The sequence below is a fragment of the Homo sapiens genome, chromosome 6 (genome assembly GCF_000001405.40).
Source record: "Homo sapiens chromosome 6, GRCh38.p14 Primary Assembly".
NCBI classification, from domain to species: domain Eukaryota; kingdom Metazoa; phylum Chordata; class Mammalia; order Primates; family Hominidae; genus Homo; species Homo sapiens.
In genome coordinates, this window is record NC_000006.12 from 111,001,702 (window position 1) to 111,029,415 (window position 27,714).

Consider the following 27,714-nt stretch of genomic DNA (forward strand, 5'->3'; position numbering starts at 1 on the left):
GACCAGCATAACCCCATTTCACCTTTACCACTGCCACTAGCTTATCACCAGCTTAGTGGGAGGGAGCACTGGCTGATGAGCACCTTCCAGTCCCTCTACTCTTTCCATTTCACTTCCAAAGCAATGAAATACTTCAGTCATTGTGCAGCTTCTAAACTAGACCACAGTCCAGGCTCTCATGCCTGTAAGCCCATCACTTTGGGAGGCCCTGGCGGGAGGATTGCTTGAAGCCAGGAATTTGAGACAAGCCTGGGCAACGTAGTGAGACATTGTCTCATATATGTATAAAGTAAACCGGCTAGGCGTGCTGGCTCACGCCTGTAATCCCAGTAGCTTGGGAGGCCAAGGAAGGCAGATCACCTGAGCTCAGGAGTTTGAGACCAACCTGGCCAACATGGTGAAGCCCCATCTCTACTAAAAATACAAAAATTAGCCAGGCATGGTGGTGCACGCCTGTAATCCCAGCTACCTGGGAGGCTGAAGCATGAGAATCTCTTGAACCCAGGAGGTGGAGGTTGCAGTGAGCTGAGATCATGCCACTGCACTCCAGCCTGGGTGACACAGCAAGACTTTGTCTAAAAAAATAAAAATAAAAAAGTAAACTGGACCACAAAACCATTATTGTTTGTCAGGTCTCATTTCTTTTTTTGTTTTTTAGAGACAAGGTCTCACTCTGTTGCCCAGGTTGGAGTACAGTGGTGGGATCACCGCTCACTGCAGCCTTGAATTCCTGGGCTCAGGCTATCCTGCCTCAGTCTCCTGAGTAGCTAGGACTGCAGGTGTGTGCCACCATGCCCAGCCACATTTTTTTTTAAGAAATGGGGTCTCACTATATTGCCCTGGCTAGTCTCAAACTCCTGAGTTCAAGCGATCCTCCCGCCTTGGCCTCCCCAACCACTGGAATTACAGGCATGAACCACTGCACCCAGCCCAGGTCTCATTCTTAACAAGAACCATTTAAATTGAACACTACATTTTCACTCATGGAGTGCATATATAACTATAAATTTTATTAATTGAGAATGTGCTTACATTGGCAATTCCTACATGTACTCAGACTTATTAGGCAGTCTTTTTTTTTTTTGAGAGGGAGTTTTGCTCTTGTCGCCTAGGCAGGAGTACAGTGGCATGATCTCGGCTCACTACAACCTCTGCCTCCCGGATTCAAGCAATTCTCCTGCCTCAGCCTCCCGAGTAGCCGGGATTACAGGCGCCCACACTCGGCTAATTTTTGTATTTTTAGTAGAGATGGGGTTTCACCATGTTGGCCAGGCTAGTCTTGAACCCCGACCTCAGGTGATCCACCCGCCTCAGCCTCCCAGAGTGCTGGGATTATAGGCATGAGCCACCGTATCCAGCCCTAGTCTTTCATTTTTTACCCCCCCCCCTTTTTTTTTCTTTTTAATTTTCTAACACCAGTGTCACCAATACCCCATTATTTGGTTACAGGTTTATATTTTTAATTTGTTTTGGTACACTTTCCCTTATTTTCCCTTTACTTCTCCCTTGTCTTTAAGACGTTGTGCTAGATATTTCTTACCTCACCTACCTACTTTTGTTGCCAACCCTCATTCCTCCGTTAACTTGTCCTTCTCCTCCACCCTCACCAGACAGAGTCTTGCTCCGTCACCCAGGCTGGAGTGCAGTGGCGTGATTTCGTCTCACTGCAACATGCGCCTACCTGGTTCAAGCAATTCTCCTGCCTCAGCCTCCCAAGTGGTTGGGATTACAGGTGCCTACCACCATGCCCAGCTAATTTTTTTGTATTTTTAGTAGAGACAATGAGAATATTTAACTCTTTAAACAAGCTCATTGAGAATATTTAATATTAGACTCTACCAGGAAATTGAGTGAGTATTCTAGGAGCCTGTTTCCTCAAGATGGCCATACGTCAAAGGATGATTATATTCAATGAAGTAAGACTAGCCTGGACAACATAGTGAGACCCCGTCTCTACAAAATTTTTTTTTAAATTAGCCTTGCTTGGTGGCATGTGCCTGTAGTCCCATCTACTTGAGAGGCTGAGGTGAGAGGATTGCTTGAGCCCAGGAGTTTAAGTTGCTGTAAGCTATGATTGCTACACTGCAATCTAGCCTGGGTAACAGAGTGAGGCCTCATGTCTCCCCCACCGACGGAGTTTTGTTCTTGTTGCCCAGACTGGAGTGCAATGGCGTGATCTCGGCTCACTGCAACCTCTGCCTCCCGGGTTCAGGAGATTCTCCTGCCTCAGCCTTCCGAGTAGCTGGGATTACAGGTGTGCGCCACCACACCCAGCTAATTTTTGTATTTTTAGTAGAGACGGAGTTTCATCATGTTAGTCAGGCTAGTCTCAAACTCCTGACCTCAGGTGATCCACCCACCTTGGCCTCCCAAAGTGCTGGGATTATAGATGTGAGCCACCATGCCCAGCCAGCTCATCTATTGTAGACTCCTGCCTAGTTCAGGGTCTTCATCATGTGCATGTGACTAGCATTTTATTTTTATTTTTATTTTTATTTTTAGATGGAGTCTCACACTGTCGCCCAGGCTGGAGTGCAGTGGCGTGATCTCGGCTCACTGCAACCTCCGCCTCCTGGGTTCACGCGATTCTCCTGCCTTAGCCTCCCAAGTAGCTGGGATTACAGGCACACACCACCATATGCAGCTAATTTTTTGTATTTTTAGTAGAGACAGAGTTTCACTATGTTGGCCAGGCTAGTCTCAAACTCCTGACCTTGTGATCCACCCACCTCGGCCTCCCAGAGTGCTAGGATTAGAGGCGTGAGCCACTGTGCCCGGCCGTGACTAGTATTTTTAAAAAATGGAATAGAGTAAAAAATATCAGTGCTGTATGTATTAAGTATTGGGGTTTTTTTTTTTTTGGAGACAGGGTCTTGCTTTGTTGCCCAGACTGGAGTGCAGTGGTGCTATCTCAGCTCACTGCAACCTCCACCCCAAGGTTCAAGCAATTCTACTGCAACCTCCACCCCAAAGTTCAAGCAATTCTCTTGCCTCAGCCTCCCAAGTAGCTGGTTGAGCCACCACGCCTGGCTAATTTCTGTAGTTTTAGTAGAGACAGGGTTTCACCACGTTGGCCAGGTTGGTCTCGGACTCCTCACCTCAAGTGATCTACCCACCTCAGCCTCCCAAAGTGCTGGGATTACAGGTGTGAGCCACCACGCCCGGCCAAATATTGTTTCACATAACTTTTATTTGTCTTTGTATGATGTGTATACTGGGTGACAACTTCAAATTTTTTTTTTTTTATTACTATGCATTGTGGTCAGGATGGTTTGAAAACCAAAAGTTGTTGTTGATGATGCTGTGCTTTTTGTTCCCTTCTGTACACCTAAATAGACCCTATAGTCCTAGGGTCAGACTGGCGTGGTTGAAGCATGGAAGACTTGTTAGATCTGGAACGTCCTTTCAGCTTCTGTATCAGACAGACAGATGTTAGGCACATCTCCATCTCCTAAGTATAGACCGTTAAGGTTCCGGGTTTGGAAGTAGAGAATGTCAACAAGAGTGGTCATGGTGAGCAGCAAAGCAACAGGTGACCTCTGGTCCTAGGGCAGAGGGTGTTTGGTTTTTGTACTGTTTTTTTTGTTTTCTTTTGTTGCTGGATTTTGGATAGTTCTTGATTTTTGGTCAGAACAGAGAATTTATAGGAAGCTCAGACCAACAGTCATTCACCTTCCTCCATAAATTACTCATCCAGTTAAAGAATTTTTACTATTTCATTTTTTCCTCTTTGGTGGCTTCTAAATCCTCTTTTTAATCACATCACATTCTATTTGGTGTAGAAAATCTACAACTGGTGAAAATACTTTTTATAGTAAGAGTTTCAACATTGCTGATGAGAATTGGTCTATACTTTCTATAGCTTATGTAAAATTATATTACTTCTCATGTGAATGTCCAGCTGGTAGTTTAATTTAGCCTTCATTTTATTTTTATTTATTTATTGTTTTGAGGGTCTTACTCTGTATCCCAGGCTGGAGTGTAGTGGCAAGAGCACGGCTCATGGCAGCCTGGACTTCCCTGGGCTCAAGTGATCCTTCCACCCCAGCCTCCCAAGTAGCTGGGACCATAGATGTGCACCACCACACCTGGCTAATTGTTTTGTATTTGGTTTGTTTGTTATTGTTTTCTTGAGACGGAGTCTCTGTCGCCCAGGCTGGAGTGCTGTGGCGCTATCTCAGCTCACTGCAACCTCCACCTCCTGGGTTCAAGCAATTTTCCTGTCTCAGCCCCGACTAGCTGGGACTACAGGCACACTGCACCTGGCTAATTTTTGTGTTTTTTAGTAGAGACAGGGTTTTACCATGTTGTCCAGGCTGGTCTCAAACTCCTGACCTCAAGTGATGCGCCTGCCTCAGCCTCCGAAAGTGCTGGGATTATAAGGGTGAGTCACCGTGCCCAGCCTGTTTTGTATTTTTTTGTAGAGACCGTGTCTCCCAGGCTGGTCTCAAACTCCTGGGCTCAAGCGATCTGCCCTTCTTGGCCTCCTAAAGTGCTGGGATTACAAGTGTAAGCCACCACACCTAGCCTATAGCCTTCATTTTTTTTTTATTGAGATGGCATCTCGCTCTCACCCAAGCTAGAGTGCAGTGGTGCAATCTCGGCTCACTACAACCTCTGTCTCTTGGGTTCAAACGATTATCCTACCTTAGCCTCTGGAGTAGCTGGGACTACAGGCGTGTACCACCACGCCCAGCTAATTTTTTCTATTTTTAGTAGAAACAGGGTTTCACCATGTTGGCCAGGCTGGTCTTGAACTCCTGACCTCAAGTGATCAGCCCCGTCTCTGCCTCTGAAAGTGGTGGGATTATAGGCGTGAACCACTGTGCCCAGCCCATAGCCTTCATTTTAAAATACTTTTTATAGGGTATAGTGGGAAAGGCACAGTGGTACAAATAAATTATAATTAAACTTATTTATTCATGAGACAAGGTCTTACTCTGTCACCCAGGCTGGAGTACAGTGGCACGATCATGGCTCACTGCAGCCTCCACCTTCTAGGCTCAAGCGATCCTCCTACCTCACGTTCCGAGTGGCTGGGACCATAGGCACTCACCAGCATGCCCAGCTAATTTTTAAAAGTTTTTTTTGGCCAGTTGCAGTGGCTCATGCCTGTAATCCCACCACTTTGGGAGGCCAAGGCGGGCAGATCACCTGAGGTCGGGAGTTCGAGACCGGCCTGACCAACATGGAGAAACCCCATCTCTACTAAAAATACAAAATTAGCCAGGCGTGGTGGCACATGCCTGTAGTCCCAGCTACTTGAGAGGTGGAGGTTGCGGTGAGCCGAGATAGCGCCATTGCACTCCAGCCTGGGCAGCAAGAGTGAAAGTCCGTCTCAAAAAAAAAAGGTTTTTTGTAGAGATGAGGTCTCACTGTGTTGCCCAGGCTGGTCTTGAACTCACTCCTGGCCTCAAGCTGTCTTCCTGCTTTGGCCTCCCAAAGTGCTGGGATTATAGGCATGAGCCGTCACACCTGGCCTTAAATTTATTTTGATTCAGGGTTGCTGGCCATCAGAAGTCTATTTTGGTTGCTTGGTTGGTTGTGTTGTGTTATGTTTTGTTTTGTTTTGTTTTCCTTTTGCAAGAGTAACTTTTAATTTTATTCTTTGCGTAGACTAATGTTAAAAAAGCCCTTTACATCATTCTTTTGCCATCTTTTATTTGGTAATGTAAATGAATGGAACAAATAATTTTTTTTTTAGTATAGAAGTCTAGAAGCTTAAAAATGTCATCTTAGCCAGGCCTGCACCTGTAGTCCCAGCTACTTGCAGGATGCCTTGAGCCCAAGAGTTTGAGTCCAGCCTAGGCAACACAGCGAGACCCTGTCTCTTTAAAAAGAAAAAAAAACCCACCTCTGTTTTTGCCTCTAATATCAGTATTCACAGACATCATTTTGGAACAGTTAATAAAATGTGAAAATAAATTAGTGTAAAGTATTGACTACTTTAAAATCAGTATAGGCCAGGCACAGTGGCTCTCACCTGTAATCCCAGCACTTTGGGAGGCTGAGGCAGGCGGATCATTTGAGGTCAGGAGTTTGAGACCAGCCTAACCAGCATGATGAAACCCAGTCTGTAAGAAAAATACAAAAAAACTAGCCAGGCATGGTGGTGTGCACCTGTAGTCCCAGCTACTTAGGAGGTTGAGGCAGGAGAATTGCTTGAACCCGGGAGGTGGAGGTTGCAGTGAGCTGAGATTGTGCCACTGCACTCCAGCCTGGATGACAGAGTGAGACTCCATCTCAAAAAAAATAAATAAAAATAAAAAACAAAATCAATATATAAACAGTTTAGACTTTGGTAATTATATAATTGCTTTTTTTTTTTTTTTTTAGAACAGTAAATGTCCTGAGGGAACAAAACCCATGCTGATATTTGCTGGCGATGATTTCGATGTAACAGAAGATTATAGAAGACTAAAAAGTCTTCTTATTGGTAAGTATTTTAGTATTTATTATCTTCAGGGTAGCTCAGGAAGACAGTCTCAGACTCTCACTGGTGGCACTTTGCTACTTTAGGTTTGTAACTTCTTTTTTCTCTTATTTTAAAAATAATATTTATATACTTAAAATAATGGAGTGCTTCACAAATTTGCATGCCATCCTTGCGCAGGGACCATGCTAATCTTCTCTGTATGGTTCCAGTTTTAGTATATGCGCTGCCGAAGCGAGCACAACTTCTTTTTCCTCCTTTTTTTGGACCTTTCTCTTTTTTTTTTCCCTTACCAGCAGCAGGAAAGCACCTAAGTATCTCGGGAGAGTTAAAGCAGCTGTTGTACTGTGTAGATGATTATTTCTGGATGTGTTAGTAACTTAGGTATTACTTGTATAGTGTTTTATAAAATTCCTGCACCCATCTCCTGTCATTCCTAGCATCATTTAAAATTAAATTTAGAAAGTTGAGGGATTAAAATTTCAAGATTGTTTGTATCACCGACTTCCAACTCAAAAACCTTAATTAGTTTTTCTGAGTTGAATATACAAGGCCTTTCACAATATATAACCAATGTAGCTTGGCCTTCTTGATCTCCTATTGCCTTCTTTTTTTCCATTAGAAAGGGTTTATTGCCAATATATTATTCACATTTCTATTGTGTATTCTGATATTGCTCTTATTTATCCAGTTTCTACTATTCATTTAAGTGTCAGATCATCAAGTTTCTTTTCCGGGAAGCCCTCAGTGACCTTCCTGGCTCCTTTTTTTTTTTTTTTTTTAAAGATAGAGTCTTGCTCTGTTGCCCAGGCTGGAGCACAATGGTGTGATCTCGGCCCACTGCAACCTCCACCTCCCGGGTTCAAGCGATTCTCCTGCCTAAGCCTCCCGAGTAGCTGGGATTACAGGTGCCCGTCACCATGCTGACTAATTTCTTTTGAGACGGAGTCTCGCTCTGTCGCCCAAGCTAGAGTGCAGTGGCGCGATCTCGGCTCACTGCAAGCTCCACCTCCCGGGTTCACACCGTTCTCCTTCCTCAGCCTCCCGAGTAGCTGGGACTACAGGCACCTGCCACCATGCCCAGCTTATTTTTGTATTTTTAGTAGAGATGGAGTTTCACTGTGTTAGCCAGGATGGTCTCAATCTCCTGACCTCGTGATCCACCCGCCTCGCCCTCCCAAAGTGCTGGGATTGCAGGTGTGAGCCACTGCGCCAGGCCTAATTTTTTTTTTATTTTTAGTAGAGACAGGGTTTTGCTATGTTGGCCAGGCTGGTCTTGAACTCCTGACTTCAGGCGATCCACCCTCCTTGGCCTCCCAAAATGCTGGGATTACAGGCATGAGCCACTGCGACAGGCCCTGGCTCATTTTTACTTTATTACCATCATCATCCTAAGTGCCAGGCATATAGTAGGCACTTCATATACACTGCTTCATTCTAACAAGAACCTTGTGAGGTTGTTCTACAGATAACCCACACCTAGCAAACTATGCTAGTTCTAAATGATTTGTGTAATGAATATAAGGACTACATCCTTTTCTATTTTTTTCTCCTTTATGAGGCAAGTCGTGTTCTGATGCCCAGGCTGGAGTGCAGTAGCTCAATCATGGCTCATTGCAGCCTCAACCTCCCAGGCTCAAGTGATCCTCCCACCTCAGCCTCCTAAGTAGCTGGGACCATAGGCACATGCCACTATGCCTGGCTAATTTTTAAAATTTTTTGTAAGATGGGGTCTCACTGTGTTGCCCAGGCTGGTCTTGAACTTCAGGGCTTAAGCAATCCTCCCACTTCAGCCCTCAGAGTGCTGGGATTACAGGTGTGAGCCCCCACACCCAGCCTCCATGATTTTTAAAAGGTTATTAGTACTTAGCATTCTGCAATTATATTTGCCAGCTCTTTTATAACTCTGGAAAGTAATTTAATTTTCCAAGAGATTGGTACTAATTTAAAGGGTCTTGGGTCTGTCTCTCTGTCCCTCAATTTTTTTTTTTTTCTTTTTTTTTTTTCTTTTTAGACAGCATCTTGCTCTGTCACCCAGGCTGGAGTGTACTGGTGTGATCACGTCTTACTGCAGCCTTGACCTCTTGGGCTCAAGCAGTCCTCTACCTCCTGAGCAGCTGGGACTACAGGTTCACACCACCATGCCCAGCTAATTTTTATTTTAATTTTTTGTAGAGATATGGGTCTCCCTGTATTGCCCAGGCTGGTCTCAAACTCCTGAGCTCAAGCAATCCACCTGCCTCAGCTTTCCAAAGTGGTGAGATTACAGGCATGAGCCACCACACCTAGCTCTCTCCAATTTAAGAAAATCTTCTTACTGAATTTTTTGCTTCTTTTCCCTCATGGGGATTGAGAGATTCAGCTTTTCCTGCACAGTACACTGATACTCTCAAAGCAGCAGTCCTTTATGGTCCTATTTCACCTTAGTGTTGACAGCCGCGAGGCCTCCATCTGATGCTCAGTGGCCTTGTCTACTTTATTCCATTTGAGCTTTTCTTGCACCATGCTTACAAGCTTATGCTACACTTCTTGTTACCCTTGTTTTAAATTTTTATATACTTTGCTGTAGATCACTTTTGAAAAATTGATGGGGTATAAAATTACGTTGTATGCACATGCTTTACAAATCTGAGCCCACCAAAAAAACTGTGACAAATACATTGCTTTCATTTTCCCTTTTTGGGATTATTTATGGTCTTTATTGTCAGGATTATAATTTTTAGGGGAAAAAAAAACACGTCACCCATTCTTGGGATTATAATTTTTAGAATTTATTTCCCGTATTAGTAATAGCTACTTTTTAAAAAAGAAACTAAGAACCACTATTATCTGTTTAATCTTTACAAAAGTTCTTGAGTTTGATGACATTCCCATTTCACAGATGGGAAAACAAACAGGGGCTCTGAGAAGTTAAATGAGAGCTATTAAGTAGGTAAGGCCAAGTTGAAACCCAACGCTTCCAAAGCCTGAGCTTTTCTTCCCCTACTGTCCATCTTGCCTGTGGTAAACATATTCCCATGATCCCTTCTAGAATCTTTATAGGTTCTTATCCATATTTTCCATGAATTAAATTCATACATGAAAGACAATGACTAATATTTCCTTCTCTCAATATTATATATCCCAAATTATCAAGGGTATTTTTCTTTCTTTCTTTCTTTCTTTCTTTCTTTCTTTTTTTTTTTGAGACATAGTCTCACTCTGTTGCCCTGGCATGATCTCAGCTCACTGCAACCTCCACCTCCCAGGGTCAAGCAATTCTCTTCCTTAGCCTCCTTAGTACCTGGGACCACAGGTGCATGCCACCACACCCGGCTAATTTTTTATATTTTTAGTAAAGACTGGGTTTCACCATGTTAGCCAGGCTGGTCTTGAACTCCTGACCTCAAGTGATCTGCCTGCCCTGGCCTCCCAAAAGTGCTGAGATTATAGGTGTGATCCACCGTGCCTGGTCAAGGGTATTTTTCCAGCCAAAATGTCAGCCAGATTTTCAGCTAAGATTTCCATTACTTGTACTCCATTGACCTAGATTTTCTGCCTTTTTCTCTTTCCCCTAGGTCTCCCATATAATTGTTTATTGTCAGTGAGGCAGATACTTACAATTTGTTATAACAGAGAGAGCTTTTGTTTGCATTTGTTTAAATGTTTTTTGTATTTTAATAAGCCCCACCTTCTCATTATTTTGTGCTTCCACTAGATGGCAGGAATGATCACATAATGCAGTGGTGAGGGGAAGGGAGTGAAAACCAAAAAGGAATCTGGACAGAAGCAGAAAGGTAGAAGAGGAACAGATTCAGACTGTAGGGCACCAAGGGAAGTTGAGTTTTCAGTATAAATATGAAGTAAAACAACTGCTCTTTGGTTTATGTTGTGTGTTCAAATGAAATATCAGTAGGGAGCAAGAAATGTATGAAGGGCTTTCATTTAGGAAGTTCCTTTTTTTTTTTTTTCTTAATTGACCAGAAAGAAAAGTTAACTTTTTTTCATGCAAGATACCCATTTTGTTCATTCTTAATTTGTTTACATCATTTTTTTTTTTTTTTCTTTTTTTGAGACAGGGTCTCACTCTGTTGCCCAGGCTGGAGTGCAGTGGCATGATCATGGCTCACTGCTGTAGCCTTAACTTTCTGGTCTCAAGCAATCCTCCTACCTCATTCCCCTCAGTAGCTGGGACCACAGGTACACGTCACCACGCCCAGCTAATTTTTTTTATTTCTTGTAGACATGAGGTCTTGCTGCATTGCTTGGGCTGGTCTCAGAGTCCTAGGCTCAAGCAGCCCTCCAGCCTCAGCCTCCCAAAGTTGGAGGTGTGAGCCAACATGCGTGGCCTATTCTTCCCTTCTTAAATGGTAGCATATTATATATATGGTTGTTTAAAAAAATTTGGAGTAGAGGAATTTTTAATTCTGATTTTCATTATACAATTGAGAAAACTGAGGCCTGGACAGGTGAGTAGCTTTTCTAAGGTCATGCATTTACCAAGTGGCATATTAAAGTTTTGAACTTAGGTCTCTCCAAAGTACATGCTTTTATTTCTTATTTGTTTATTTTTTGAAATGGAGTCTCACTCTGTCACCCAGGCTGGAGTGCAATGGAGCAATCTTGGCTCACTGCAACCTCCGCATCAGCTGTTCAAGCGATTCTTCTGCCCCAGCCTCCTGAGTAGCTGGGATTACAGGCATTCACCACCATGCCTGGATAATTTTTGTATTTTTTGTAGAGACAGAGTTTCGCCATGTTCGCTAAGCTGGTCTCAAGCTCCTGGCCTCAGGTGATCCACTCATCTTGGCCTCCCAAAGTGCTGGGATTACAGGCATGAGCCACCGTGCCCAGCCATGCTTTTATTTATACAGTATTATTATACTTTAGGTTATCAAGTTCATAAAGTTATTTATCATACTTCTTGGTCAAAATCCTAACAGTGTATATACCACTTGCATGACGTCTTTCCCAACTAGAAATGATCTTTCTCTCCTCAGAACTTCCAGAATGGTTTATACTGTTCTCCTTTTAATGTGCTACTTTAAATTGCAGTTGTTTGTATGTATTCATATCTACCTAGAATGCAGGGCCCCTGATAGAAAAATGCTATATGTCATTTATCACTTTGCATAATAGGTGCTCTGGTACAATTTATTAAGTGAATGGATTCTTGCCAATGGTATTCATGTGTAAACAATACTCTGTTGTGTTCTAGCCAGAAAATATCATGCTGTTAGACATATTTGCTTTCCGGTTACTAAGTACTACCATTTATGCCCTCCCGTTTTCATTCATTACTTGTTTGTGTTACCTTGATGATTTGCAAACTTTAGTGAAATTTCAGTTTGGCAGTTAAGAGAAAATGTTGTAATAAAAGGATGGCTGGTTAGAACTATTGGATACAGACTGAAAATCCTTTTATATTCATAGTCTTAGAAATTTTGACTTAATAAAGAGTACTTTTCCATGTGCTTATTGTGTTCCTAAAGTTTTCTCCCAAAGCACAGATGTCCTGAAAATTTTGCATTATGAAAGTTGTTTCAGAGCAGACTGGAATGTACATATTTCGTTTCCCAGAAGTACTCTGACTTCAGTAATGCCACACCAATGAGTGAGCTTTATTAACTTGGCCACTGAAGGAGAGTCAGGCTTTGGCAAAATCATGGGAAAGCTCTTTATTATGATATTTAGATTAAAATATCTTGAAAAGTACAAACTTGTTTTATAAAAATGTCCCAGGCCAGGCGTGGTGGCTCAAACCTGTAATCCCAGCACTTTGAGAGACCAAGGCAGGAGGAGTGCTTGAGTCTAGGAGTTCGAAACCAGCCTGGGCAACATAGTGAGACCCCATCCGTACATAATATATGTATAAATATATGTAGTATATGTACTTTTTTTAAATTAAAAATGTTCATTAGTTTTTTTTTTTTCTTGTTTGGGGGAGTAGAGGAGGGTGGTGTATAAATGTGCCTGCCCACTTGTGTTTGTTTTATACAAGTTAATGCTGTGTTTTTTGTTTTTTGGGTTTTTTTTTTTTTGAGACTGAGTCTCACACTGTCGCCCAGGCTGGAGTACAGTGGCGCAATCTCGGCTCACTGCAATCTCCGCCTCCCAGGTTCAAGTGATTCTCCTGCCTCAGCCTCCCAAGTAGCTAGGGAGGCACTTGCCACCACACCTGGCTAATTTTTTGTGGTTTTAGTAGAGATAGGGTTTCACTGTGTTAGCCCCTATGGTCTTGATCTCCTGACCTCATGATCTGCTCGCCTCGGCCTCCCAAAGTGCTGGGATTACAGGCATGAGCCACTGCACCTGGCCTGTGATTTTCTTTTGGTTAAGCACAAGAAAGGAAAAGCAGACAACAAAAGATGCGTTCATCTGTGCACATGGAGATAATCTGCATCTTATGGGCTAATGGGAAGCAGGAAGGAAAATGCTAGGTGGCTACAGAATGGGACTAGAACAGAATTTCCCACTTACTACATCACCTGCCTTGGGCAGCTCTTCCTAAGCAAACTTGGATAAACTTTTATATAGACCTTTTATCTTAGCCAAATGTTATTCATGAATTTCCATTTAGCCTCCTTGAGGTTCGATTTTCTCAGCTGTAAAATTAAGATATCACACTTGTTTTCCAAACTTCTTTCATAGCCAAGTCTGTGTAGTATCCTTAGCGTGCAGTTCACTGGAGATTTTCTTTTAATTGACTCCTCTTTTTAAGTTATTGTTTGAGACAGGGTTTTGCTCTGTCGTTCTCACTGAGTCCAGTGGTGGGATCAGCAATCCTCCCACCTTAGCCTCTCCAGTAGCTGGGACTACAACCTGGCTAATTTTTTATACTTTTAGTGGAGATGAGGTTTCACCATGTTGCCCAGCCTGGCCTCAAACTCCTGAGCTTAAGCAATTCGCCCGCCTCAGTCTCCCAAAGTGCTGGGATGACAGGCATGAGCCACTGTGCATGGCTGACTACTCTTTTTAAAAGGAAATTTTATGTCCCTATTGTAAATGGAGAATGGTACAGGATAAAATAAATACGTAGTAAATTATATCTGGCTTTGTATCATTAAAATGCTCTCATGTGCCACCGGTGGTATGATTACCACTTTGTGAGAAAAAAGACTATCACTGATATGCAAGGTTCTTTTCTGGCATTAACAGTTTATAAAGTTTCTTATCCTTTGTTCATATAATCAAGATTTCTTATTAGAGTTTTTTTCTTGTTGGCCTCCCTCATAGAAAAAAAAATTAAGGCTAATTTGATTTTAATAGTCAATTTGAACAGCCATTTTTATAGAAATTTGCTATCTTCATCTACCAGTAGATTAAAATTTTATGCTTTGATTTACATTTTTTAAAAGTTAGTATTTTTAATGGATATGATTTTTTGATGCTGAGCTGACTCAGAGGAAGAACTTCAAAACAGAAACATTAAATGTCTCAGTGAACTGAACACCAAAATACCAAAATAAAGTCATGAGATTAAATGCTTAAGGGGTGGGACCTTCAGACATTTTTCAGGAATCATTTTTTGTGCTTTTTTAGATAAGTATTGGAGCAAAACTGTTTAGAGTGCAGTTCTTTGTAACTGAATTTTGCAAGTATTTGTTTTGTTTTGTTAATAATTTAATATGTGCTTTTAGATTTCTTCAGAGGCCCCACAGTATCAAATATCCGCCTGGCTGGATTAGAGTATGTTCTGCACTTCACTGCACTGAATGGGAAGATTTACTTTCGAAGCTATAAGTAAGTGCATTTCTTCACATATTTTCTTAATCCTCAGGGTTAGTGTTTAAAACTGTGTGACTGTTTTTTAGAGCCCAAACTTAGAATTGGTATCTGGCCAAAAGGTTTCTTGGAGAGTTGGCAGGATAGCAGTGACAGCAGCTCTGTGCTGATCCTCAGTCCTTTGCCTCTGAAACCCTACTTTTCCAGTGCCCCAGAGCATCTGATGCTGCACTGTCGCTGAGCCAGGTGCACCAACCCTTCCTAGCTTTATGCAGCATCTCTTTATTGTTCTTGGTTGGATTTACAGCACTAAGCCACAAATCCTTGGCTAGGCAAAGCAAATCTCAAAACCCTAAGTCTTAACAATTGAGTCTAAAAGGAATAAGAAGATTCAGTGGCTAGATTCATTTCACTCTGTCTCTCTAGCCTAGGCCTTCTACCCCTACCACAATATAAATATAAATCTTAAGCAGGCCGAGCATGGTGGCTCACACCTGTAATCTCAGCACTTTGGGAGGCTGAGGCAGGCAGATCACTTGAGGCCAGGAGTTCAAAACCAGCCTGGCCAACATGACGAAACCCCATCTCTACTAAAAAAAACCAGAAAAATTAGCCCAGCGTGGTGGCACATGCCTGTAGTTCCAGCTGCTCAGAAGGCTGAGGCACAAAAATCGCTTGAACCTGGGAGGTGGAAGTTGCAGTGAGCCATGATTGTGCCACTGCACTCCAGCCTGGGCAACAGAGTGAGGGCGCTGAAAAAACAAAAAACAAAAAACTCTTAAGCAGATTCTATGTTTATTAAAGAGTTAATGACATGCTGTAATTGTGGTTCTTTTTTTTTTTTCTTTCTTTTTTTTTTTTTTAATTGATCATTCTTGGGTGTTTCTCGCAGAGGGGGATTTGGCAGGGTCATAGGGCAATAGTGGAGGGAAGGTCAGCAGATAAACAAGTGAACAAAGGTCTCTGGTTTTCCTAGGCAGAGGACCCTGCGGCCTTCCGCAGTGTTTGTGTCCCTGGGTACTTGAGATTAGGGAGTGGTGATGACTCTTAACAAGCATGCTGCCTTCAAGCATCTGTTTAACAAAGCACATCTTGCACCGCCCTTAATCCATTTAACCCTGAGTGGACACAGCACATGTTTCAGAGAGCACCGGCTTGGGGGTAAGGTCATAGATCAACAGCATCCCAAGGCAGAAGAATTTTTCTTAGTATAGAACAAAATGGAGTCTCCTATGTCTACTTCTTTCTACACAGACACAGCAACAATCTGATTTCTCTATCTTTTCCCCACATTTCCCCCCTTTCCACTCGACAAAACCGCCATCGTCATCATGGCCCGTTCTCAATGAGCTGTTGGGTACACCTCCCAGACGGGGTGGCGGCCGGGTAGAGGGGCTCCTCACTTCCCAGAAGGGGTGGCCGGGCAGAGGTGCCCCCAACCTCCCGGACGGGGCGGCGGCTGGGCGGAGGCGCCCCCACCTCCCTCCCGGATGGGGCGGCTGGCCGGGCGGGGGCTGCCCCCCGCCTCCCTCCTGGACGGGGCGGCTGCCAGGCGGAGACGCTCCTCACTTCCCAGACGGGGCGGCTGCCGGATGGGGGGGCTCCTCACTTCTCAGACGGGGCGGCTGCCGGGCGGAGGGGCTCCTCACTTCTCAGATGGGGCGGCTGCCGGGCGGAGGGGCTCCTCACTTCTTAGACGGGGCGGCCGGGCAGAGACGCTCCTCACCTCCCAGATGGGGTCGCGGCCGGGCAGAGGCGCTCCTCACATCCCAGACGGGGCGGCAGGGCAGAGGCGCTCCCCACATCTCAGACGATGGGCGGCCGGGCAGAGACACTCCTCACTTCCTAGACGGGATGGCGGCCGGGAAGAGGCGCTCCTCACTTCCCAGACTGGGCAGCCGGGCAGAGGGGCTCCTCACATCCCAGACGATGGGCAGCCAGGCAGAGACGCTCCTCACTTCCCAGACGGGGTGGCGGCCAGGCAGAGGCTGCAATCTTGGCACTTTGGGAGGCCAAGGCAGGCGGCTGGGAGGTGGAGGTTGTAGCTAGCCGAGATCACGCCACTGCACTCCAGCCTGGGCAACATTGAGCACTGAGTGAACGAGACTCCGTCTGCAATCCCGGCACCTCTGGAGGCCGAGGCTGGCAGATCACTCGCGGTTAGGAGCTGGAGACCAGCCTGGCCAACACAGTGAAACCCCGTCCCCACCAAAAAAATACGAAAACCAGTCAGGCGTGGCGGCGCGCGCCTGCAGTCGCAGGCACTCGGCAGGCTGAGGCAGGAGAATCAGGCAGGGAGGTTGCAGTGAGCGGAGATGGCAGCAGTACAGTCCAGCTTCGGCTCGGCATCAGGGGGAGACCGGGGAGGGGGAGGGGGAGGGAGAGGGAGAGGGAGAGGGAGAGGGCAATTGTGGTTCTTGAGATAAGTGTGTGACTTCTCTTTTTTAAGGCGTTGGTACTGGCTGACAGAGCCCACAGTTTCCTAAAGAATACACTGACTCCCACAAATTGCCTTTCTCTGTACATTGAGTTTAGACTTTGCTGTACATTTTGAGCTATGGTGTGGCTGGTGTTGCAGCCTGAGAGCTGACAGCTTGGTGTTGACAGTGTCTTCTGTACAGTAGTGTTGTTTGTCCAACCATTTGTATCTAGCATTTTGTACATCGTTTTTATTTTGTTTTCTTCACAATGAAAATACATGACTGACCAGCTTTATGTCCTATGAATGTCCAAATGAAACTTAAATATTCACCTCTTAGCTGATAATTTCCATCTTGGGCTCAACTGTATTAAATCAGAGACATTTAGTTCTTTTTCTCCATATAATTAATACCACCGCTTCTGTTTTTCTGTTTTCCTCTCACTAAAAATAAATGAGGCAAAATGCAGTAAAATACCCAATGATCATAAGATGTAATTAGAGACTTTATAGTAATTTTTAGCTGGTTAAGATCGAAAGCCCCTTAAGTCTCCTGTTTGAGTTTCCATATGTGATTTGGGAGCTTCTAAGTATGTATTATACTATACAGTAGATGACTGTTATTTAGAGAACAAGAAATAAAAGATGAAAAATCACTAATATAAAAAAGTACTCAGGACGGACATGGTGGCTCATGCCTGTAATCCCAGAACTTTGGGAGGCCGAGGTGGGTGGATTGCTCGAGGCCAGGAGTTCAAGACCAGCCTGGCCAACACAGCGAAACCTGTCTCTACTAAAAATACAAAAATTAGCTGGACATGGTGGCACTGGCCTCCATGCTACTTAGGAGGCTGAGGCAGGACAATTGAGCCCAGGACGCAGAGGTTACAGAGAGTGGGCGGATCACTTGAGGAGTTCAAGACCAGCCTGGCCAACATGGAGAAACCCTGTCTCTATTAAAAAATACAAAAATTAGCTGGGTATGGTGGCGCACGCCTGTAATCCCAGCTACTTGGGAGGCTGTGGCATGAGAATTGCTTGAGCCTGGGCCACACGCCTATAATCCCGGCTACTCAGGCGGCTATGGCACAAGAATTGCTTCAGCTTGGGAGGCAGAGGTTGCAATGAGCTGAGATTGTGCCACTGCACTCCAGCCTAGGTGGCAGAGTGAGACTGTCTGAAAAAAACAAAACAAAATTAAACTTATGTTGGCTGGACACCTGTAATCCTAGCACATGGGAGGCTGAGGCGGGTGGATCACCTGAGGTCAGTAGTTCCAGACCAGCCTGGCCAACATGGCATAACACCGTCGCTACTAAAAATACAAAAATTGGTCAGGCATGGTGGTAGGCGCCTGTAATCCTAGCTACTCGGGAGGCTGAGGCTGGAGAATTGCTTGAACCCGGGAGACAGAGGTTGCAGTGAGCCGAGCACTCCAGCCTGGGCAACAAGAGTGAAACTCCATCTCAGACATAAAGTAATAAAATAAAATAAAAATTGTATAAAATTACCTTCAGGCTATGTATATAAACTGTATATGAAACATAAATGGATTTTGTGTTTAGACTTGGATCTCATCCCCAAGATATCTCATTATACGTATGCAAGTATTTCAAACTCTGAAAAAAACCAGAAATCTGGAACACCTTTCTTTTCTTTCTTTTGTTTTTTTTTTGAGACGGAGTCTCGCTATGTTGCCCAGGCTGGAGTGCAGTGACGCAATCTCAGCTCACTTCAGCCTCTGCCTCCCGGGTTCATGCCATTCTCCTGCCTCAGCCTCCCAAGTAGCTGGAACTACTGGCACCCGCCACCACGCCCGGCTAATTTTATTTTTGTATTTTTAGTAGAGACAGGGTTTCACCATGTTAGTCAGGATGGTCTCAATCTCCTGACCTCGTGATCTACCTGCCTTGGCCTCTCAAAGTGCTGAGATTACAGGCATGAGCCACCGCGCCTGACCTGGAACACTTCTTTTTTTGAGGCAGGATCTTGCTGTTGCCCAGGCTGGAGTACAGTGGCATCATCTCAGCTCACTGCAACCTCTGCCTCCCGCATTCAAGCGATTCTCCTGCCTCGGGTGGGTATGTATGCCCTCTGTGTTAAACATAGAGGGGATACAAGGGAGATAAAAATATAACGGTAAAAAATCATTGACAGTAAGAAATGAGTGGTAACAGTAGCCTAAAACTCTTCTGTGTTGAACGGTTTCGCAGAAAGTATTCACTTGTATTTAGTGAAAAGGGTTTATTTGTAAAGAAAGATACAGAGAAAATAAAACAAAATAGAGAATTATCAAGTCAGACTTTAGAGCAAGAATAAACTGGCCCAGCGTGGTGGCTCATGCCTGTAATCCAGTACTTTGGGAGGCCAAGATGGGTGGATCACCTGAGGTCAGGAGTTTGAGACCAGCCTGGCCAACATGGTGAAACCCCGTCTCTACTAAAAATATAAAAATTAGCCGGGCAACATGGTGTGCACCTGTAATCCCAGCTACTCAGGAGGCTGATGCAGGAGAACCCGGGAGGCAGAGGTTGCAGTGAGCCAAGATCGCACCACTGCACTCCAGCCTGGGTGACAGCGAGACTCCATTTCAAAAAAAGAGAAAAAAAAGAATAAACTAGCAGTAAGGCCGGGCACGGTGGCTCATCCCTGTAATCCCAGCAGCCCTTTGGGAGACTGAGGTGGGCAGATCACGAGGTCAGGAGATCGAGACCATCCTGGCTAACACGGTGAAACATCATCTATACTAAAAATACAAAAAATTAGCTGGACATGGTGGCGCATGCCTGTAATCCCAGCTATTCAGGGGGCCAAGGCAGGAGAATTGCTTGAACCACGGAGTCGGAGATTGCAGCGAGCCTAGATTGTGCCACAGCACTCCGGCCTGGTGACAGAGCAAGACTCTGTCTCAAAAAAATAAAAATAAAAACAAAAATAAAAAACTAGCAGTGTAACTATAATACATAGATCCACCAAAAATCTGATTGCTAGAATCACCTTTACACTAGCACGACATCTTTCATAATGAAAAAAAGTTTGAAATTTTAAAATCAGAGACCCTAGTATGTAATTTTGATCACTAGATGTTCCATATGTGCCTTGTAATACTTGTTAGCTATTAATTTGAAATAAAAAATGGACACTGTGATTGAGAGTGAGCTGCTACTTGAAAGAATCACTAAACATGTGGATCAGCTTAGCTTCCAGAGGCTGTGCCACACTTGGGGAGCATTGAGGATGGGAGGAAGGGGTGGTCCAGGGATTCAGCATCACCTCTGAGCCTACTGACCTGGCTCTGAGCTGGGCTCAGCCACGTGACATGGGCAGGTCACCACTTCTCAGGGTCTTTGTTTCTTCCTCTGTAAACTATAGCAATACCATTTAGATAATTCTGAGGTCCCCCTAAGATTGACAGTACTGCTTTATAAGAGTAAAGGGGTACTCATAGATGGGCATATACCAGAAAGTATGTCTGACTTAACTTGGCTCCCCAGGCATTCTTTGGGCTAGCTATACTGTGGAACCCTTTCCCTCGCTCTTACTGCAAATTAGCCCTTATGCAATTTGAAAATGGTAATATTTAATATTCACACACTTTATTTGTGAAGATAAATGAGGTTTATAAAATGGTTTTGAGCTTTTTGGATGAAAGGAACTCTAAACAGGAAATTATATTAATATAACCTTTAACATGATCTTTTGGGTGAATAAATCATAGTGTTATTGACCACTGTTCCTATACATCCTATAGTAATTATTCCTTGTATGTGAGTGACTATTTATATCCGTTGGGAAATTTTATTCACTATGGAGTCAGAGCCATTAATATGAAACAAAATCGTTAGTAATGCCACATGTGCCTTTGCACAATGGTTAGGCCTTATGGGGGGAAATATGCAAAACAAAGTGGTAGCATACTTTGAAAAGCAAACATAACATTCTAATTGAGGAGTTTACTTAATGAAAACAGACTTTCAGCCAGAGAAGTGTATGAGAGGGAGAAAAATGAGGAAATTACAATTTGAACAGTAGTGGTAATGTCACTCTTCCTCAAGAAATAGACAAATAATATTTAAAAATATGTAGAAATTACCAGTTAGCATATCTACCAGCTTGAGCCCATCTGAGAGAGAAAGAACTGGGTTCTGTTTGCAGATAACTAAAAGCTAGAGAATATTTCCTTAAATCAGTTTGATCTTCCAGTAAACATACTCACTGAAATGATTAAGATCAGATCATCTACACAGAAAAGTATGACATTGTACTTAATTCTTTAATGAAATAACAACATAGGTAATTATACATAGTTATTTGGAAATCTTAATTTTATGTACCACTCAAAAAATTCATTAGGACGCTTGTGAATAAAAAGGCACAATATTAAATTATTATATGCACCCTGAAACTATGTACATCTATTATGCATCAATTTTAAAAATTATTTTTAGTTAATTAAAAGGTGCTTCAGTTAATTAAAAGGTGCTTTTGGCAGTGTATAGTAGTACTTGGGTGATTTGAATCTATCGGATATGCCATGAGCTGTTTTGAATTGACAAGTTTTCTAACTAGCTGAAAATTAGCAGTTTTAAGTGGAAGAAAAAATTTTAGTTGAAAATTAAAATACATGTCCCTGATTTCTTTTTTTGTTTGTTTGTTTTTGAGACGGAGTCTCGCCCTGTCGCCCAGACTGGAGTGCAGTGGCGCGATCTCGGCTCACTGCAACCTCCGCCTCCTGGGTTTAAGCGATTCTCCTGCCTCAGCCTCCCGAGTAGCTGGGACTACAGGCATGTGCCACCACGCCTGGCTAATTTTTTGTGTCTTTAGTAGAGATGAGGTTTCACCATGTTGGCCAGCTGGTCTGGAGCTCCTGACCTCAGGTGATCTGCCTGCCTTAGCCTCCCAAAGTGCTGGGACTACAGGCGTGAGCCACCACGCCTGGCTGCTCCACCATCACTTTATCCTGCCTGTATTCCCCAGTTCTCCTCCACCAGTGTTTCCAGATCCAGAGCTGTTTAGACATAGGGTATTCAGAAAGTTGTGGTTTTGTTATTTTAAGATTTTAAAGTTCACTTCAATGTAAGGAAGTTAGTAAATGTCTGTGCTATGAGGAAAAGTTGATTCTGAATGGGTTGGTTTAACTCCTACAGTCTTAGATAAGAACTTGTTAATCGTATAAACATACTGTTTCAAAGAAAAAGCCAATTATAATTACTTTTATACATACATAAATCTATGAGTAAGATGAAGAAGTCAAATCAAAGGATTTTATTTCATTTCTGAGAATAATTTTGTATCTCACTTGCTGTTTCTCAATAATATTGTATAATTTTATTTCTGATTTTTAAAAATAAGCAAACTGCCCTTGACCTCAAAGAGAAAAAAAAAATTTTTAATTTGATATTTGTGTGACCCTTTAGCTCAAAAAGGGATAAAAGACTTATAAAGAAAAGCCGGGCATGGTGGCTCATGCCTGTAATCCCAGTACTTTGGGAGGCCGAGGCAGGAGGATCATGAGGTCAGGAGAGCGAGACCATCCTGGCTAACACGGTGAAACCCCATCTCTACTAAAAATACAAAAAAATTAGCCAGGTGTGGTGGCGGGTGCCTGTAGTCCCAGCTACTCGGGAGGCTGAGGCAGGAGAATGGCGTGAACCTGGGAGGTGGAGCTTACAGTGAGCCAAGATCGCGCCACTGCACTCCAGCCTGGGGACAGAGCGAGACTCCGTCTCAAAAAAAAAAAAATTTATAAAAGAAGATGTGAACCAAAGGATATACTTGGCTTGAATAGTATTAAGTATTTAAGTAAGTCTTTCTAAACATTTTATATCATTTAATGGAATTGTAAATCCCCTGAACAAAAAATATTTGGTGGAGAGGACTTTTATGAAAGTCAAAGCAACATTTCTTTTTACCTATTTCCTAAAGGTTGCTGTTGAAGAAATCTGGTTGCAGAACACCACGGATTGAATTGGAAGAGATGGGACCCTCATTGGATCTGGTTCTGAGGAGGACACACCTGGCATCGGATGACCTTTATAAATTATCTATGAAAATGCCAAAAGCTCTCAAGGTATATAACTTAGAGCTTGGTACCACATTTATTTGTATTTTCTACTTTAATCCTTTTTCTTTCCAAAAAGAATTTGTGGCATATTATATTAAAAGACAAGGACAGGCCAGGCGCGGTGGCTCACGCCTGTAATCCCAGCACTTTGGGAGGCCGAAGTGGGTGGATCACAAGGTCAGGAGATCGAGACCATCCTGGCTAATACAGTGAAACCCCGTCTCTATGAAAAATACAAAAAATTAGCTGGGCGTGGTAGCGGGCGCCTGTAGTCCCAGCTACTTGGGAGGCTGAGGCAGGAGAATGGCGTGAACCGGGGAGGTGGAGCTTGCAGTGAGCAGAGATCACGCCATTGCACTCCAGCGTGGGTGACAGAGTGAGCCAAAAAAAAAAAAAAAAGACAAGGACATATATAAAGAGATCAATACAATAGATTAAACTAGGACTCACAGAGCCAGGAAAAGGAGAGAGAACCAAATAAGCCAACAATAAGGGATAATAAAAAAAGAGTTGCAAAACCCAGACATGAGGTTTGGCTAAGTGCCTTCTGATAGTCAAGACTGTTGTTTTCAGCAAAAGAAAGAGAGTTGTTTGGTACACTGTAAAGGCTAAGGATTTAGAGTACAGGGTATATAAACCATATGTGCATAAAATGTGTTTTGACTTTTTAAGTAGTTTTAAAAGACAAGAAGAAATGTAATCTCTAAAATGCCAATAGAAATTGAAACAATAGTCACAACTTCTTAAGCTAAACACAGGCTATTTTCTTGATGTGTGACAGTGGTTAGTGTAGTTTATAGTTTTGTTTTTCAAAGTGTGGCCTGACAGTTTACCTGGGAATTGTGCAGAATATCAGGCCCTACCCTAGACATACTGAATTAGGATCTGTATTTTAGCAAGATCCCAAGTGATTTGTATGCACACTTAAGTTTGAGAAGAAAAGTGTATAGGGCTATATACTGTGTCACTGAAGGGGCAGGCACTAATGGAAATTGCTACTAAGATAGTTGTTACAGACTAGATTTTTACTGGCTCATTATAGTAGAAGGCCATTAAATATATACATATTCTTTTATCGTAGCCAAAGAAGAAGAAAAATATTTCCCATGATACTTTTGGTACAACTTATGGAAGGATTCATATGCAGAAGCAAGACCTAAGCAAACTACAAACCAGGAAAATGAAGGGGTTGAAGAAGCGACCTGCAGAAAGGATAACAGAAGACCACGAGAAAAAGTCAAAAAGAATTAAAAAAAATTGATGGAACTTAGCCAGCCACTACTGTTTCATTGTGTTCTACTTAAGAGAATTATCAAGCGTCAATCCATTCAGAGTTTCTTATAAGATCTTATTATATATTTTTATAACATGATAATTTTACGATATATTATTATGAACAGTAATATACTAGTATTAAGTGTAAAGTAAGCCTTTTATTTGAGACATTACACCCTGGTGTGCCATTTTCTCTTGTGATATCCCCTGCCCTCCACAAATTCTTCTTTCTCATTGGGTGGATGGATGGGTGAGGAGGGATCTCCATAACCATTGGGATTTTTTTGAATTTCTGGCCTTAGCTAAAGAAAGCCACAGAAAGCCGGACCCGCAGGAGCTGTGTAAACAATCTCAGTATGAATTACCTGGAAAGTTAACCTCCTCTCCCAACATGGATCTACATTCTGATTTTTATTTTCTACTTTTATTTTGCCTGAAATCCTACTCGTTGACATTTGAGATTTTAAGCTTTGTGGCTGAAAATATATAGATCTCTGAGAGGGATGTCTGCTATCTGATTATTGATAAATTACACTACTGTTGATTGTTTTAAGAGACTCTACTACTAAGTAGAGCCCACCCCGCTTCTCTGAGACGAAACCTGTGTTTTTTGGTTGGTTTGTTTTTAAGAGATGGGGTCTTGTTCTGTCACCTAGGGTGGAGTGCAGTGGCACAATCACAGCTCACTGCAGCCCTGAACTCCTGGGCTCAAGTAATCCTCCTGCCTGAGCCTCTTACGTAGCTGGGATTACAGGCATGAGCCACTGAGCCCTACTTTTTTTTTTTAAAGCAATGAGGTCTTGCTGTGTTGCCCAGGCTGGACTCAAATTCCTGGGCTCAAGTGATCCTCCCACTTCACCTTCCTGAGCAGCCGGAACTACAGATGTTGGTCCACTGCACCTGGCAGAAAAGAAGTTTTGATAGGGGCAGAAATGAAAAAGGAGAAAACAGGTGAGTTTTAAGGTGCAGGGCACTTTAGGGTACTGGGTAGCCCTAGGTAGCTAAAGGTTGCATGAAGGCCCTGGGCGTTTGCAGATGGTGTAGAAGCCAGCCAAAGCCTAACTACTTGTTTTGAAAGTTTCTTGAAGACAGGCCTTGTGCCTAGGAAAACAGAAGCTTTCTTCTTCCTTCTACTAGTATTGCATACTTGTTTTTCTGGAATAGGGTGTTAAGTTCCTTGATTCAGTCCTTGACAAGGAATCTCCTTTATACAAGTGCCAGTAATGTTGTAAAGGTACAGACATACGCAAATCATAATTTGTTACATGAAGTACCAGTGCTTTCTTTTTTGTTGTTTTTTGAGACAGAGTCTCGCTCTGTCGCTCAGGCTGGAGTGCAGTGGCGCGATTTCAGTTCACTGCAACCTCCACCTCCCAGGTTCAAGCATTCTTCTGCCTCAGCCTCCCGAGTAGCTGGGATTACAGGCACCCACCACCACGCCTGGCTGATTTTTTGTAGAGACAGGGTTTCACTTCAATTCCATGTTAGAGAGCTCCGTGCCTGTGTATACATGCCTTTATGTAAGCTTGCTCAGCTACAGATCAACAATGCTGGCACTAAGCAAAAGTTCGAGCCTCAGCTTTACCTTCTACCCTTTCCCTTCTCTTTTGAATCCATTCCTTAGCTTTCCCTAGTCCTCTCCGGATAGCTGTTACTCTCCTCTTGCCAGAAAAATGAAGGAGCTGGTATCATTTATACTTTTTGTTTGATTATACGTTTAACCAAAGACCATACAGTCTCGTACCTGAATCAGACATTTGCACTTTATATCTAAATGAGAAGAAGGGGCTCAGATAAGTCGTTTGCTGCCATCTGGAGGTAGATGGACAATAGCTGAGAAGGGGAGCCATGAAAAGAACATCAGGAGTGATGGACGCATAGTCCTTCCCCAAAGCCTCGCTCATCACTGGTAGGAGGCAAAGCAGTGGGTCCTCCTCACCAGCCGCTTACGGGACCCTGCCATGCCTGGACCCCTCTATCAGGAAGACCTACCCCAGCACTACTGGAAAATCAGCCAATCTTAACCCAAAGATGGCCATGATTTCTGTATGTGAGACGTCTTAAGGGTGTTTTTGTTTGTTTTAATCAGCCCTCTTGTTTGAGATTTGGCAATACATTTCTGTTTTCTAGGTAATTTCTGTGTCTGATGGTAGAGGATCTAATAAGTATTGGAATGCTTCCTATTTGCTGATAGAAGTACCAAATAGTATTATTGAAGTCTAACAAAGACTTTTTGTTGAGAACACCTTGTAGTGTTGTACTATCTGGAACTCTTGAGCTGCCATTTATATCACTTTTTGTGGAGAGCACATCTTGATTTTCAGTTGTCCTTACTTTAGAATACAACACACATAAATTGGAGACTATGTATTCATTTCAATGGAGGTGGTAAATTGCCTGTTTTAAGTTTTACTTAATGTTGGGTTTTGGTAGATGAGGAAAGCATTTTGGTTATTTGTTTTGTTTTAAATACCAAATTTCTTATATTTTTTCTGGAATATTAATACTATTACCAAGCTATTATTTCATGGAATTTGGGTTTCTTTTTTTTTGTTTTTTTAAAATTAAGTGCTGTTTGTTTTCTTGGTTATTGAACATAATCCAAAGTAGAGATGTTATTACTCAATTCAAGAAAAGAAAGGGCTAATAAAACTTAACTTCAAGTCAGTTTTCATTTATCTGATTAGCTACTTACATGATCTCTCCTTCCTTTCCTTTTTATGTCTAGCTACTTAAGGCTAAAAATGGAAGGCTTCAAAATGGAAGAAGTTAAAACTACTAAACCCATTGCTAAGATCCGAACAACAAAGGAAGGTTTGCTTTTATTGAATTTCAGAAATTGGTGCTTTGTCCACCATAAAATTAAGAGACAGTGCAAAAAATACGAGCTTCATTATGTTTTTAATGCACTTTTACTTAGAAATAGTCAAAACATAACTGCATTTAAGACAAATGCATCCTAGCGTATATACATTATGAAATTGTAGAGAATACTGTTTGATATTCATTGAAAGAAGCTATTCTGAAAAAGAAGATGAAATGGGCTTGCTTACTTGAGGTATATGCTAGCTGTGAAAAGAAAGTCAGCTTGCATTTAGATGTTGTTTGTCTCTCATATCAACAACTCGAGTTGCTCAAGTTTAAAAACAGCAAGGATGTCATTGTGTTTCTCGTATCATTCAGAGTGTGCCAGTTAGACCATGTTAGGAATTTTAACTTTGCCATCATTGAATTGAAGCTATTCTGCACTCTTTTTCCATTTCAGAGCTCTCTGGAAAAAAGTTTTTATTATTATTTTTTTGGAGACAGAGTCTTGCTCTGTCGCCCAGGCTGGAATGCAGTGATGCGATCTCAGTTCACTGCAAGTGCCGCCTCCTGAGTTTAAGCGATTCTCGTGCCTCAGCCTCCCGAGTAGCTGGGATTACAGGCATGCGCACTGCGCCCAGCTAATTTTTAGTAGAGACAGGGTCTCGCCATGTTGGCCAGGCTGGTATTGAAGTCCTGATCTCAAGTGATCTGCCTGCCTCGGCCTCCCAAAGTGCTGGGATTACAGGCGTGTGCCACCGCACCCAGCTGAGAAAGTTTTTAAATATAGCATAAATACATTTTATGTATTAGAAATCAGGTGTCACTCTGTTGCACAGGCTGGGGTGCAGTGGTGCAGTCATAGCTCACTCCAGCATCAGACTCTGGGCTCAAGGCATCCTCTCGCTTCAGCCTCCCAAGTAGTTGGGACCACAGGCAGGTGCCACGACAGCTGGGCTAGTTTTTTTTTTTTTGTAGAGACGATGTTTCACTATGTTGCCCAGGCTGGTCTTG

The 27,714-nt window shown here is 43.0% G+C and overlaps 1 protein-coding gene, 1 long non-coding RNA gene and 1 pseudogene across 3 annotated transcripts in view, besides 1 other annotated feature; 2 read left to right on the plus strand and 1 right to left on the minus strand.

The window, feature by feature from the left end:
• The window catches only part of RPF2 (ribosome production factor 2 homolog), a 46,226-nt gene extending 19,664 nt beyond the window's left edge, over window positions 1–26,562 (plus strand). For both annotated transcript variants that reach the window (NM_032194.3, NM_001289111.2), the window contains 4 exons: window positions 6,337–6,436; window positions 14,053–14,155; window positions 22,482–22,626; window positions 23,702–26,562. In NM_032194.3, the coding sequence (NP_115570.1) occupies window positions 6,337–6,436; window positions 14,053–14,155; window positions 22,482–22,626; window positions 23,702–23,881 (528 nt within the window). In that variant the 3' untranslated portion in view covers window positions 23,882–26,562. The remainder of the gene's footprint in view (window positions 1–6,336; window positions 6,437–14,052; window positions 14,156–22,481; window positions 22,627–23,701) is intronic.
• RNU6-906P (RNA, U6 small nuclear 906, pseudogene) lies at window positions 6,569–6,675 on the minus strand (annotated as a pseudogene).
• Window positions 8,520–11,887, plus strand: LOC124901375 (uncharacterized). Its single transcript, XR_007059705.1, has 2 exons — window positions 8,520–8,562; window positions 10,131–11,887. It is a non-coding gene; the product is annotated as an uncharacterized LOC124901375 (long non-coding RNA).
• Window positions 14,895–15,539: an enhancer, noted in NCBI's record as "NANOG-H3K27ac hESC enhancer chr6:111337799-111338443 (GRCh37/hg19 assembly coordinates)". NCBI's record gives its function as "activates a minimal SCP1, AML or CMV promoter by ChIP-STARR-seq in primed H9 embryonic stem cells {active_cell/tissue: H9 hESC(primed)}" and the evidence as "EXISTENCE:reporter gene assay evidence [ECO:0000049][PMID:30033119]".
• Window positions 26,563–27,714: the final 1,152 nt, after the last annotated feature.